General features: G+C 34.3%; 1 long non-coding RNA gene across 1 annotated transcript; it reads left to right on the top strand.

Moving 5' to 3' along the window:
* The first annotated feature begins 1,558 nt into the window (after positions 1 to 1,558).
* Positions 1,559 to 12,568, top strand: LOC105374550 (uncharacterized). Its single transcript, XR_925520.2, has 3 exons — positions 1,559 to 1,670; positions 5,413 to 5,484; positions 12,264 to 12,568. It is a non-coding gene; the product is annotated as an uncharacterized LOC105374550 (long non-coding RNA).
* Positions 12,569 to 16,014: the final 3,446 nt, after the last annotated feature.

Raw genomic sequence — 16,014 nt, forward strand, 5'->3', positions numbered from 1 at the left:
TGCACGTGAGGGATCTAGGTTGCCTGTTCCTTATGAAAATCTAATGCCTGATGATCTGTCACTGTCTCCCATCACCTCCAGATAAAAGCATCTAGTTGCAGAAAAACAAGCTCAGGACGCCCACTGATTCTACATTATGATAAGTTGCATAATTATTTTGTTACATATTACAATGTAATAATAATAGAAATAAATTGTGCAATAAATGTAATCCACTCAAATCATCCTGAAACCTGCTCACCAACCCTCGTCCATGGAAAAAACGTCTTCCATGAAACTTGGCCCTTGTGCTAAAAATGTCAGGGACAATTGGATTAGGAGACCTCATCCATTGGAGGAGAGGCAGAGGGTTAGGTCAATTGAGGCCCTCCTGATTTTACTAGATATTATCAATTGAATTGCATCTCCTCAAAAGATATGTTGAAGTCTCAATCCCAGTATCTCAGAATGTGAACTTATTTAGAAATAGATCATTGTAGATGCAATTGGTTAAGATTAGGTCATACTGGAGTAGGGTAGGCCTTTAATCAAATATGACTGCTATCCCTATGAGAAGAGGAGAAAAGATACGAGATAGAGACACATAGATATGATGGCCATTTGACAACAGAGACAGAAATTGGAGGGCTAGATCTATAAGCCAACGGATGCCAGAGATTGTTGACAAACACCAGAAAATAAAAGACGCAACAAAGGATTTTTCCCCTACAAACATCGGAGGGACCATTGCTGTGCCAACATCTTGCTTTCAGAATTCAAGTCCCCAGAACTGTGAGCTCAAACCAGTTATCAATGTTAACATCACCAATAATAAAATATTGACATCTAGTGCCCCCTGATAAGATACACTAGGAAAGACATGGCCTCCCTTCTGTGGACTTCTTTCTCCAAATCCACAACTTGAATCTAGTAATGAAAAGACATTACAGAAATACAAATTCAAGAATATTCTACAAAATATCTGATGAGTGCACTTTGAAGGCATTGAGATCCTGAAAGAGAAGAAGATTGAAGAAGTGTTATAGATCAGAGGAGACTAAAGACAAGTGATAAGTTAATACAATATGGGACCTTGGATTGGCTCCTGGAACAGAAATAGGATGTACTTGAAGAGACAGGTGAAATACAATTGAAGTGTATAGTTTAGCAAACAATCAATCAATCAATCAAAATAAGACAGCTTAAAGTTCCATACCAGCCAGAACATGATATTCAAAGAAAAGATAAACTAAAAATATCCAGTAATAGTGATAAAACCATTTTCATTTGAAACATTCTGAGTAGTAATCAACAGTAAGATTTTATGTTGTTTCATCTCTGCTCATTTTAACTTGAGATGTGCATAGTTATTACATGGCATTATTTTCCCATTTATTATATTTTTATTTTAAAAGCTAATCGTGTAGCCAAAAACTAGTTTTGGGGCCACTGGGCAAGTGGAAGTAGATTACCTATAAAACCTTGTATTCTGTGGCTTTCTTTCTCTTTTACCATTATCTCTTTGATAATTTTAAATTTTTTTATTGTTCACAGCTTAATTTTATTTCAGTAATTTTTCTAAAATTCCCAGATCTTCAGGGATCTAAGATGAGATATGAGACAGAATTACTTACAAGCAGTCAACTCCAAATATGTCCAGGATTTAAACAGAGAAATTCAACAGTCATTTGGTAAGAACATAGACTCAGCTCACACCAGTCAGTGATAAAATCCTCTCTAAATACCACTTTGAATGGGTTTGAGAATTAGTCCAACTATGGAGCCACTCTGTGTTCTGTGGATGGGAAATATTTCCTTTAAACCTTCCAAAAACATTCCCTGAACAGGAGTCCTGAGGTTTCCTAAGTCACTCGGATGCCACTGGAATTTCTCTGAAATAACTGATATATTTGATCACCACAGTCATTCGAGAAGAAGTATGGGAGATCTTCCAAGGGCTTTCAAATCATGTCAACATAATTCTTTTCTGTGCTAGCCTTCTGCCTAGCTCTCTGAGACCCATATTTAATAGAGAAAAGCTGCCTTGGGTCTGCAACTGATATCCTTAACAATATTTATAAATACAGCTACTTTTTTTTTCTTTACAAATGTCACTTATCAGGGATATTTTCTGAAAGTGAGAGGTGAGAAGGTGGGCCTATTTTAGGTCCTTTTGCTATGAAGGCTTACTATTTCTGTTTTCCTTTGTTTCACACTAAAATATGTTTTACTTTGCATGTACAGATTCTCTATATCCATAGTTCCCCAACTGTGGATTCAACCAACTGGAGATTGAAAATATTTGAAATTTAAAATAAAAATAAAAATAATACAACAATGAAAAATAATATGAATACTTAAAAAGTAAAGTATAACAACTATTTATATGGCGTTTACATTGTATTAGGCATTGTAAGTAACCTAGAGATGGTTTAAAGTACATGGGAAGATTTGCATAGGTTATATGCAAATATTACACCATTTTATATAAGAATTTGAGCATCCTGAGATTTTACTATCCTGGTAGGTGCTAGAACCAATGCCCCATGAATACTGAGGCATTTGGAATGTTTTGACTCCATTTTCAATATATCCAACTTTTCACATAAGTGTAAATTCTTCCACAAAGATTTTTCTGTCTCCCTTCTTTGGGCAGTTGTATCTCTCTGACAGCTTTTTTTTTTTTTAAATTCTTTGCCTTATTTGTATTCATGTACAAATTAGTTTTCTCTATTAAATTATGAATGTCTTAGTTTTAACTGTCCGTATTCTACCCAATGTAGCAACATATATTATGCCTTGAATATTGCAACAGGTCAGATATTATTTACTGAAAATAACAAAATCAATGTACCAGATATATTTCTTCTTAATACAAATCATTCAATACAGAGGGTGTAGGTTCTGTTTGTTTTGGATTTGATTTTTGTAAAAATTGCTACAATTCTCCACCCCTGCCCTGTATCCATACCCTTTGCAATGTGACCTGCAGCAGTTCCCATGAGGAGGTAGATGATATTTTCCCCCAGCCCTTGAATCTGAACTCATTTCGTGAAAACTTTGAAAAATAAAATTCAATGGAGGTGACAGTGTGCCAGTTCCCAGGCCCTAAAAGGACTTGTGCTTTTATTCTCTCTCTCTCTCAAAATGCTTCCACTGCCCTGTGGCTTGCTGGAGAAGAAAATACCATGTGCAGAAAAAAGCCAAACCAGCTGGTGCGATCTTAGATTGACCAAGCTCGATCAAGCTCCACCAGCTCCCCACCTGACTGTAATTGCATGAAAGGGCCCAGCCCAGCCCAGCCCAGCCCAGTCCAGATAACCAGAACTGTCTAACTGGCTAATTGACTTCTGAGCAAAAATAACTATTTGTTGCATGTCTTTATGATTTTTTTCCTGGTTGTTTGTTACATACCATTATTGTGGCAATGAATAACAGATACAGAAGTGGAAGCTGTTACTGATTTTATAATAAGTACTAAATTTACTATATTTCATATTATGCAACGAATTAGTACTCTTAATTTAATAACTGGCTTATTTCTTAAACTCTCTTCTTATTATACCTCCCTAGTCAATGAGTCACTACTCTTTACTAGAACTATAATCACGCCTCAGTCAAAAAGCAAAGCACATGTTTTAAAAAATTTCTACTCAAAGATTTAAGTTTTGCCATCAAAGTGTGCACGTATTAAATTCAATTCTCAGGATCTCCCCACCCCACAACCACCAGCTTTTACCTGTATTTTTTCTAAGATCCCTAGCCAGTTGTACATCGCTATGTGCTCCTAGAATTCTCCAGATTAAAAGATGATGACACAAATGCAAACTTCTTTACACAAAAGTCCTACCAAAAGCCATTGTAATTGATTAGGTGGCCTCTGCTGGCTCTGTGGTACAAGATTGCTTTCATTCATACCCTGCAGGTTTATGTCACCAGTTTTCCCAGCAAGACACTTCATGGGCTGACCTCCTGTCTTAAAATTCATTTAAAATTCTTTACCTGACTACAGACTGTCAAATGCAGTCAGATAACCCTAGCCTAGTTTTAAAAAAGAAAAATAAATCTGACAAAGATGAAGATACAGGGAAACATTCAGAAAGAATTGCTCATTGTACCACTTAGAAAAAACTATTTTCAGTTGGAGAGCAATGCTATTAGGTAGAGATGTACAATATTGAAAGTGATTTAATAAGGTAGATGACAGTTTGCCTTCTGTCCTTTCTCTATCTGGCTGTCAAGATTCAGATAGTGCTATCTCACCTTGCTTTGTCATATATCCAGAGGATTTAGTGAGATTAGATCATTAATGACCCCAACCCTAGAACAATGAAAGAATATTATTCACCACCCTTTCTGTATAGAAGTATGTATAAATTATCTAAGCAGCCTTGAATATCAGAGTTTATGAAAGCCTAGGCATTGTTATAATTTTAAGAATAGTTGGCATTGGACTAGCATTCTACAGTTCTCCAATTTTCTTTTTCACTGCTGTAAGCTTCTTTGGTTCATACTGAAATCCGGTGAGGTAGGTGGTTGAGGGAGTGAGGTAAGGGGCGTGAGAAGGTGAAGTCGAATCTGTGACTAAATGGCTCCCCTTCCCCTGCCCAAGCCTTCTAAGCATTACAATCTGATTTCATGTGAGATTCTTTGACTCACTCAGAGAGAAAGAAAAATGGAACTAGTTAACCAAGACCTGAATCTGTCTTCTAGTCATTTAAGTTTTATTGAGTCTAGTATGCACCAGATAGCATACTGGGCATTTTCATATTCTATCTTGAAAATCACTCTGTGAGTTTGGTATCATAATTCATATTTGAGGTGAGTAAAGAGACTGAAAATAAATCCTTTTTTAAAAATAGCTTAAATGCCAAGCAATAAAACAATAGTTTAATTGTAATAATTTGCCTTGCCTATTTAACTTGTGGAGATATTGAGGACACAAAATATTATACAATTTGGCCAGAGTTAAATTAGCTTTCCCTTGCTTTATGTGAAACTGGGCAAACCTTTAAGTTACATATAGTCTTTCCTTGGAAACAGATCATCTCTGAAAGGCCTCTAATATATGATAAATGATGTGGGATGTATTAATATTGTCATTTATCTCATTCTATGTTATCCCTTGGTGCCTATTTTCAATTAAGATAGACAGAACAAAACTTGTTTGTTATTTGTTAAATATATAATACATCAAATCCTTGGAGGAAGCAAACAATCACACTGCCCATGGCTGTCTACCTAAACATACTTGCTAGAAGATGCTGGATGCCACCCAATTCCTGTTTATCTCTTGCCTACTCTTCCTCAAACCTAATGTTCAACATCTTCAAATTTATCTCTCTTAATCCCCTACATGAATTCACCCATTTGTGTTCCCATTCTAGGTTGTCTATATATTGGTGTCTCAACATATCTGTGCATTTTTTTCAGGTTCTTTTTTTCATTCTTATGAAGCCCTTTCATCCCTACATTCAGCATGAAGCATTCATCAAGTAATCTCTTGTGAGTAACCCCTTCTCCTTACTCAGTAGTACTTTCTTATACATTCATGGCACCTTGCCATATGCTACCTAGTACCATTTTTTAAATTTTGTGCCTGATCCATGTCAATATGTAGGTTCTTGATATTAATAATAAATTCTCATTTAATAAGTTTCTAGCAGATGATAAGAACTCAACAAATAGTATATATCTGCTACTATTGCTAAAGATAATATGTACATTATTTCATTTAATCCAAGGAGAATTAAATTATTTCCCATTTATAAATGAGAAAACAGAATGTCAGAAAGACTAAACAACCTGCCCAAGATTACACAACTGATGGCCCCGGGGGTTAATATTCCTGTACTTCCACATATGTAGGAAGAGTGCCTTATGCTTTTTTGAATACTCACTAGCTAGCATAGTAATTCACGTATAGTCAATACTCAATACATGATTGATGATAAAAATGTAAACAGGTATTTATTTCAATGAAAAAGAAAGTTTCACTTTGTTCAATATCCCATTTCCCCATCTGAATATTTAAGAAAACAATATAATGTCCTAGAAAAATGAATGACCAGTTGTACAAGCATACCCAGGAATTTCTCATTTGGTAATTTATTCCAAGGAACTAATACTGAGAAAAAATATTGTAGGGGAAAAAAACGTTTATTTTACCACTATTTAATTTTAAAATTTGGAAATATCCCATTCAATAGAGTAGTTTGTAAGTATAAATATGTCATTTACATAATGAAGGAAATAATGTGAAAAACTGGATAATTCTGATGTCTGTACTACAGAGAAAAAATATTTTTTAAAAATTTAGTAAAAAAATAACAAAACCTAAAGCCTTCCAAGTCTATCACCAACTTCCAACACAAATATCTGGCTATGTGCCTCAGCAGCATGCAAGATTGTGCCTCAACTTTTAGTTTCAGCAATCACCATGGGAGGACCCAGCTTCCGGCCTTCCCTGTTTTAGGCTATGGACATCAACAACCAATCAACTCCCTACTCTAGACATTAAAAGCTAAATTGTGCTCCTCACTTTCTTAATACCATTTATTTGACAATTTTGTATATTATCTTACTTATTCCTTTTAATGACCCTGTAAGGTATTTGTGAATGGGACTGTTACATCTTCCTTCCAGCAGAGCAGGAAGTGTGCATGTCTAATTTCTAAGAAACTAGGTGGAAACATGTGACTGAGTTTTGGCCAATGGAAAGTAGTGCAGGCATGATATGTGCCACTTGACTTGGCCATAAAACGTTCTTTGCAGTCTTATATGCTGTCTTTCCTTCACCCATGGAAGCCAAAAGCAAAGCGCTCTAAACAGCTTAGTGCGAAGAAGGAAGGATGAAGAATCCCTGAATGCATCACTTAGAGGAGAGCCACCCAAGTGTGCCATCCAATTGAAGGATAGTTGAATCCAATTTTAGGTGAAATGAAATAAACATAGAAAAAATTGAGTTCAAGGTTAATTTCTGCAACTTGGGTTGGTGCACATAGACACAAATGGTAACCTCGAATAAGTACACTCTCAGTTTGACTTGAAAGCTTGTGTCTGTTCCATTATAAAAATCAGTATTATAATTTTAGTTACAAAAATGTATATATATTATATAAATGTATTATTATATATAATTATATAAATGTATATATAATTATATAAATTATATAAATGTATATGTAATTTATATATAATATATAAATATAATTAATATATAATATATAAAAATTACATATTCTATACATTATATAAATGTCATTTATAATAATAAAATGGTAATTAAAAGCTTAGTTAATAATAGAATATGGAATATATTTTGTTGTAGTTAAAATATGACATTGTGAGAAACCATGAAAATCAGTTTTTAAAGAAAACTTTATAAAAATAAAAATGTTCATAGGGAAAATGGAAAACAATCTTTTATATTAATATTTTTTCATATGGAAATTATATATATAACATATATATTTATAATATATGTTCTGGGCCTAATTTTGAATATGTTTGACATAGAAAATATCCTGAAAACAAATCTACCAAAGCGTTTATAGGAGTTTACTCTGAAAGTGGTAGCATTTTTAATTTTTGTCTGCTATTTATTATATAGTTTTAATTTTCTTAAGTATGTATTATTTTTAATCCAAAAATATATATTATATGGATAATATAGACAATTTATATCCCTTTTTACCTCAAAGCAACATCTAAATCAAAGGCTCATTCGCTCTCCTGTATGGTTCAGAAACACCTAAGTGTGTGAAGAGCAGGCTCTTTTGTCTTCAACAGCAGCCATATTTGCAGCTGGTGATGTTTTTGTATGAAGAATTCATAACTTTTCTTCTGTACTGAGACACATTTCTAAATGGTTCATGATGTGCATCATGAATATCTTTTATTGCTGTACTTTCATTGAACCAAAATGGATTGCTATTAGTTTAATGTATTCAGTATGTACAATTTTTTGCCAAATGGTTGTGACTCTATCAGCATATACATTATTTAGATTTTTTAACTTTCAATACTGTCTGGAATGTTATATAAGCCTTCTGCAAACTCCTGAAATGATTTAATTTCTGTATAAAACACTGTCGGCAACTTTACTGCTGACAAACTATCCCAGGCAAAAAAGCTCAACAGCAAATCAGTCAAAACTAATCCAAGGTTCATTAATCACTTAATATGCAGAACAAGCATTCTTCTTCCTGCTTTCTCCAGAAGATGGTTAAAATGACATTTCTGCTGTTCTCATTGCCTGATTCTCGAGACTAAGGAAGTATTTCTTTAGTTTGCAGGCAAAAGACAAAAACAACCAAAATGTTATTTCAGAAGGATTTTTCTGTTTTCTGGTATCTATGTTAATAGTCTGATCATCTAAGTTGATTTCTTCTTAATAATATGAAGCTCATCATTGTTTTTATTTTACTATCTTTAGGAATATTTGCTTTTAATAGCAGTAAATACCAAAGATGAAATTTCTTCTCAAATTTCTCTCTGGAGGAATGGGGGTTTTATGAATTATATTCAACAAAGAGTAATTTTAGGATTTTTGAAAGCTCATTCTTCAGTTTTTTTAGTGAAACGCTGAAGAGGTTAGCTGAAAATTTAGAGGCCTAAGTTAAAACTCCAAGGCTGGTATTCTTCATTCTATTTTTATTAGCATTCTATACCTATTAATTCATTAATTTATTATAATGTTTTATAATTGCATATATATATATATATATATGACATTTTCTTTATCCAATCTGTTTCGCAATTGGAACTTTAAGCAGAAGTTACTTGTTTAAGTGATATATTTATAGTCAGCTTACTACCTTCATTTTTTAAGGTTACTAGGCAAACTTGTTATGCTTATCTCAATGAGATTTTGGGGAAATATCAAGTTTTAACTTTACTGATTGAAAAAGCAATAGGTAGTGACTCAATTGCTTTGATTGATTCCTTCTTATTGTCTTTTTCCACCCTCTTACACCCACCCTCATCTCCTTTCAAGGTTTGTCTATATTCCTAAGCATATGTAATCTCAGTAAATTTCTCAGTCAATTGCTTTTCTTTCTTTTCTTTGCTTTTTTTTTTTTTTTTTTTTTTTTTGAGACAGAGTCTCGCTCTATCCCCCAGGCTGGAGTGCAGTGGTGTGATCTCCTCTCACTGCAACCTCCACCTCCTGGGTTACGGAGATTCTCATGCCTCAGCTTTCCAAGTAGCTGGGATTACAGGTGCATGCCACAATGCCAGCCTAATTTTTTGTGTGTATTTTTAGTAGACACTGGGTTTCACCATGTTGGCCAGGCTGGTCTCAAACTCCTGACCTCATGTGATCCGCCCACCTTGGCCTCCCAAAGTGCTGGGATTACAGGCATGAGCCACTGCACCCAGCCCTTATTTGAATTTTTTGTACAATCATTACCTTCTTTGAAATTAATCTATTTAAAATAAATTAATGGTTAATAATCTGTACCATTCATAACAGAACTCATAAGTAACTTCTTGTGGAGCTATCAAGAGTGTGCATAGTAAATTTGGTGACATGATAATTAATAGAGATTGAGTTGGTAAATATCAAGTTGACTGGATTTTGCTGCACCAATAATCCTACTAAATTCCATTCTTAAGACCGAAATACAGCTCAGAATATTTTGTTTCAGTCAAAGCACGAGGAGGATTAAATTCAATTAAAAACTTTGGCACATGACATCTTAAGTGAATCAAACAGCCACCCTGTCTTCCCTATGTATTAATTAATCTCTTCTAGGTTTCAAGAAAGGGGCATACAAAGGTTCCCTTGCATTAGCAATGAACAAAGTATGTTCCAGTGAATGCTAGTTGTGCAGAAATAGGTATTTCATCAAGTACTTATTAAATATAAGTGTGAGAACTGCTTGTTTCAAAAAATTAAACAGAGTTTGCTTTGTTTTGGCTCTAAGGCTATTCAACATCTTTAGTTTATAAATAGAATTGTAAAAAAAGTATGAGCTTATTATTTACATTTTGCAAATTTTCACTTTATATATCCCATAATAGTGTCTGCATGAAACACTTTAGAATATGTGGGTACATTGAATCATTGAAAATGTGTATCAAAGTCTATATGACCTATACTGTTTTCAGTGCTGTGATTTCATTGATGAGCAAGAAAGAAAAGCTAACTGCTCATAGAAAATTTACAAGCCAGTGGGGATGAAAAACAATTAACATGTAACAGTTGAACAAAATCATTCTGAAGAATGCTGAATACTAGGAAATACATGCAATAGTAAAATTAGATCTAGAGTGACTGGACATGAAGGAAGCCAGGGCGACTTGCGCAGGTTGACTAGAGACGGGTATATTATTTTGGGCTGATCAGAAGTGGGGGAAAGGAGTGTATTACTTTATGATCCAGTTAAAGCGTATTCCAGACAGAAAAAAATATGGCAAATTCAAAGGTCTTTGTTTTACAGAAGTTTATTATAAGGATACACGAGATAGCTACCAAACATCAGGATCTCTTGCTAGCAAGATAGCCACTCTGAGACCACAGTACAAATATTTAGTCCCTGAAACTGTTTTCTAACTATAACCCCTCATTAAATTACGCACATTGAAAGCATTTTAATATCCCGTGATTACAGTTGACTATATGTGTAATAAACACCTGGACAAGATGAACCAACATAAAGCATGGGATTTGCATTTTATTTGAACTAGAAGACCAAGAAACCCTAGGCAGATGTTAGTAGACCCCTGAACTGAAAGGCTAAGTATATACAACACATAAAACACCATTTGCATTCCAGATTAAAATGAGCTGTTCTTTCTGTTCTTTATTTGGCTTACTACTTAAGGCCTGAAGTAGTGACAATATAATTTAAGGACTTTTTAAAAATTGACACATTAAAAAGTTGATCTTGTGGAGATAGTGAGTAAAATGATAATTTCTAGAGGCTGGGAAGAGTGTGGGGGCAAGTGGAGAATGAAGAGAGGTTGGTTGATGGTTACAAACATAAAGTTCGATAGAAGAAATATGATCTACTAACTAGGATTTTTAAAATTACAATTATAATAGACAATTAAAACTAAATTTAAATTAAGAGATCTGAAGAAAACATTACATAATAGGCATTGGCAAAGACATCCAAAACTAGATGTTGAACTACAACCGTCCTGAGAAACAGAAAATCAGCAATAAAGATTTCTTAATCTTTACACAATGACATAGGATTTTTTCAGCAAATCTGACATCCTGCAGGAGACGCTTTAGGTTCTTGAGGTCTCGATCAAATTTTCCAACCCTTAGAATTAGATCTATTTCTCCCAGTAAATCTTTGCCATATTCTCCTTATGCACATTAATTTTGTATTCTAATACTGATGATTGCTATCAGGTGTTACTTTAAGAAAATTCCAGGGAGATGGCCCTCCTTAGGAGCATGATGTCCTCATCTGCCTTTTGGTACATGACTCATCTCTACTTCAAAAGGTTTTATTGGTCTATCCAGGTCCCATGGAAGAAAGAAAAGGAATCTTAGGAAAAGGCCTTAGGATTCCTTTCCAGAAAGGAATGTGAGCCTGAAAGGCCCTTTATATTACATGGATACAACACTATTATATACCTTCATGCTTTCATTAGAGAATACACTCGATATTCAGACAAAAAAAAGCCAAAACCAATTTTCATTAATCATACAACTTAGACTGAATAATGCTTTTCTAATTTGTGGTATCTTATAAACTAACTTAATTCTTCACTTTGCATCATATGTATAAGACTTTATTCAATTCCTAAGAATTTGATTTATTTTTCTCTCTCAGAATATCTTGAAGAAAAATTAGATGACAGGATATAAAATATATTTTTACTTTTTATTTGTATAAGTTTTTACATATTCAAACATAGAAATGTATTTCATTTTGCTGAACAGATATGTTTCTAAACAGTTGCCTGTAAATCAAATTCCTACATATTGAAATTGATTTTGTTATTGGCTTTCATTATAAACTGAGACATGCCTGGAGATGTGTTCCTCTAGGGAATTTAAAATAAACTGGACTTAAAATGCAATACAATCACAATCACAACTGATGCAAAAATGTTGAGACTAAGATGTTTTTAAAACAATATCACTTTTTAAATTTTAGTATTATCTAAAATATACACTTAAACATTTTACTTAGAGTGTGGTTTCTGGCATTCCACATCTTAAAAGTTGGGGAGTAAAAAATTATGCAAGCCACCTTGCAAAAATATAAAATCAAAAGTTTTTCAATCTGAAACCTTTCTCTTCTTTGTTCTATTATCAGAAAAATAAATACGAATATATTTGGTACAAAAGTCTCTATACACACTAGTAAAGTATGATAAACTGGAATAAATGGAGACTCTGAAAGAGTGCAGTCATAATACACCAGGAAGTCCACACAGAAGCACATTGGAGATGACGTATACTTACTTTCAAGTGGCATATCACAACTTGTGTCTTGGCAAGAGTGATGGGCCCATCATGCAAGTGTCAACCATTTGCAGCTATTTGCCAATTCTGCATAAACCGAAGACCTCACTGAGTCTTAGTTATCTTGTTATTGAAGACAGAATATTTGGATAACAAAGAAAAAAAGGTAAAGGGGGAAAAAGAAGTAATATTTATTGAATATGTATAATAGCAGGGCTAGATACGTTACGTATGTTACTTCATTTACCTCTCACCACAGCCCTGTCTGGGAGATTTCATTTTCCCCATTTATTGTTGAGAAAAGTAAAGCCACCAGGACGAGACAAAATAGCTAGTATATAAGTCCTGTACTATTCAACTGCATATTCTATATACTTTCTGTAATGGAGACTTTGATTTAATACTTCCTAAGTGCAAGGTGTCATGCTGGATGTTAAGCGGGCGTTAGTTCCATGTCATTGCATTGTGAGAAAACTGAGACTAGGCAGGGTAACTAAACACATCCATGGCAGTAAAACTAGAGAGTTAAAAAAAAGTCTCCCTGCTGTACAAGCCTATTTTATGTATGACTTTCCTTCAACAGCCACTTTACCTTCCAAAACTTGTTGATTCTGTGATTCAAATTAAGTATGGGAATAACATTTAATAAAATTTATAGAAAAAAATGTTTGCAAAATAAAATATTAGAAACTTCATAATGAATTTGTATTAAGATATACTGTGAATATAAGTTTCTGGGCATTGAGATATATACAATCAGACATATGTACTACGATTATTAATTAGGTTCACAAGAAACGGTAACTGCTTGGTTTTATGCCCTCCATAATTTGTGGCTTTCTTGGTTGTAAATCACTCTTTAGAAAAGTAGTGCACATTTTTTCAAGACTCCTTTTACAGTTTTATTTTCATTATTCAAAAATAACGAGTAAAATGTATTTTAAATGTTTTTCTTTTTTTTTTCTTTCTTTTATTATACCTTAAGTTCTAGAATACATGTGCACAACGTGCAGGTTTGTTACATTAAACGTTTTTCTACTAAAAATAGTAGTTCGGCCATATACTAGAGTCAGCTTTAAGGCAAAAGTTTTAAGCACCCAAATTTAGCAGGCAAAAATTACCCACCTATTCTACCAGAGGAGAACAGAAAAGTGTTACAAATACTCTTCTCTATTGGAGAAGAGGAGTTAGACACAGTATCTTAGTAGAGTGCATGTTTTGTCTTTCCATCAGGTGAAAAACTGGAATCATTGAGGAATTAAAGTTTCTTCTCCAGGTCCATGGAAACTCCCGAACAACCAAAAACTACAAAGATTTTTTAAAATCTCAAATTTCTTGCTAAGTAATCTGGTCCCTTCTCTAGATTATGAAACCTCAGAGATTATTTCCCAATGCACCTTGTATTTCTGTCTTCCTTTTGTGGGAGAAACTTACACTATAGCTATTGCACATTATAGGAGTCTTGAGAAATAGGTTATCTGACATCATTTTAAAGTTACTCTCCTTAATGACACAATATGCTTAATATAAAATGAGACATGTATGACTTAAATTTTATATTCTTTCCAAAATCAGTATATTTTTCTTTTAATAGTAATAATGTAGAATCATGAAATGAAAGAATTTCACAATTAATTTGTGCACCTTAATGTAACCAAAAACATTTTCATTTTCACCAAGAATAAACAGTTGTTACACTGGCTAAAATGTCAGAGAACATATTGCCCTATATTTTTTGACAGCATGGTGTTGTAGGGAAACTGAAAATCCCTTCAGGCCAAAACAACTACTATTCCGTGTAATTAAGAAAGTAATAAAAATGCATCCTTGAAATAGCATGAAATTCAGAATCAAAGAAAAGGCAAAAACAGACATTTTGTGAGACACCTACTGCCAAAGATGACTTTGCTACTGAAAATTTCTGCCAAATCTTGGGTCAAAGAATGTAAGCCCCAAATTTAGCGTTTGTGGATAAGAAACAAAACCTTAGATATAATCAATGTGGAGAATTTTATAGAAAATTCAAAGGATACAGCTGCACTATAAGAGATGATACAGAAAGGAATCCTGCTGCGAAGAGTGCAATGCCAAGAGATTTTCCTATCTCAGATTGGCATTGGAGAGGAGGAAAAGTTACGTATTCTCACTGAGAATTCATAACCACAGTCATCTCATGTCTTTGCAATGAAAATTCAAACTTCTATTGACATAGAAACCTCAAAAGGATAGTTTAATTTAAACATGCTGAGGTGGTGGAGCCTGCAGGTAACTGGCAGAAACACAATTTTCCTAGAAAAGAAAATTCATTTTCAATAAAGTTTCCAAGTTAATGATCAACTTTCAGAAATCAAAAGCGTACACTGGCATAGAAGAGAACAAGAGTGAACAAAAATAAACTCACATATAAATCAGTTGTTGAAGTGATTGGATTCAGAGTTTAAGATTACTATATTTCTATTTAATAGTCTTTAAAAATGAAAAAGAAGCTTGTGGCCGGGTGTGGTAGTTCACGCGTGTAATTCCAGCACTTTGGGAGGCCAAGGTGGGTGGATCACCTGAGGTCAGGAGTTCGAGACCAGGCTGGCCAACATGGTGAAACCCCATCTCTACTAAAAATACAAAAATTAGATGGGTGTGGGGGCGCATGCCTCTAATCCCAGCTACTTGGGAGGCTGAGACAGGAGAATCACTTGAACCTGGGAGGTAGAGATTGCAGTGAGCCGAGATCCTGCCATTGCACTCCAGCCTGGACAACAAGAGTGAAACTCCATCTCAAAATTAAAATATATACATGTATATATATATATATATATATATATATATATATATATATATATACACATACATATATATACATACACACATATATACGTGTGTGTGTGTGTGTATATATATATATATATATACCTTGTAAATATAAGAACAGAAAAATTTAAGGCACTTTCAGCATGCAGATAATGGTTTCTAATGGCATCCTCCAGTAAAAGGACTCAAGGCTCCTTGGAAAAATGGCTGATTCCGGGCTGAGGCTTAAAATATACATAATGAACCTGGAATGTCTTATAGTGCTTGACAATAAGAAAATGCTAAAAAGAAAAACAAATTATATGAAACCTGAAATGATGGGAGTACTACATGGACAGTGAAAAAAAGTAAATTTAATGTGAGGAGAACTTACAAACACTACCTCAGTCAGGTGATAAGGCAGACGATCATCAAGAAATAGGATGTTAAGGCTGGGCACGGTGGCTCACGCCTGCAATCCTAGCACTTTGGGAGGCCGAGGCGGGCGGATCACTAGGTCAGGAGATTGAGACCGTCCTGGCTAACACGGTGAAACCCCGTCTCTACTAAAAATACAAAAAATTAGCCGGGCGTGGTGGCGGGCGACTGTAGTCCCAGCTACTGGGCAGGCTGAGGCAGGAGAGAATGGCGTGAACCTGGGAGGCGGAGCTTGCAGTGAGCCCAGATTGCACCACTGCACTCCAGCCTGGGCGACAGGGGAGACTCTGTCTCAAAAAAAAGAAAAGAAAAGAAAAAGAAATAGGACGTTAAATTATCTGTGATTGTGGATTTGTCTATTGTTTTTGGTTTTTAATACA

This window comes from Homo sapiens, chromosome 4, assembly GCF_000001405.40.
Source record: "Homo sapiens chromosome 4, GRCh38.p14 Primary Assembly".
Lineage (NCBI taxonomy): Eukaryota > Metazoa > Chordata > Mammalia > Primates > Hominidae > Homo > Homo sapiens.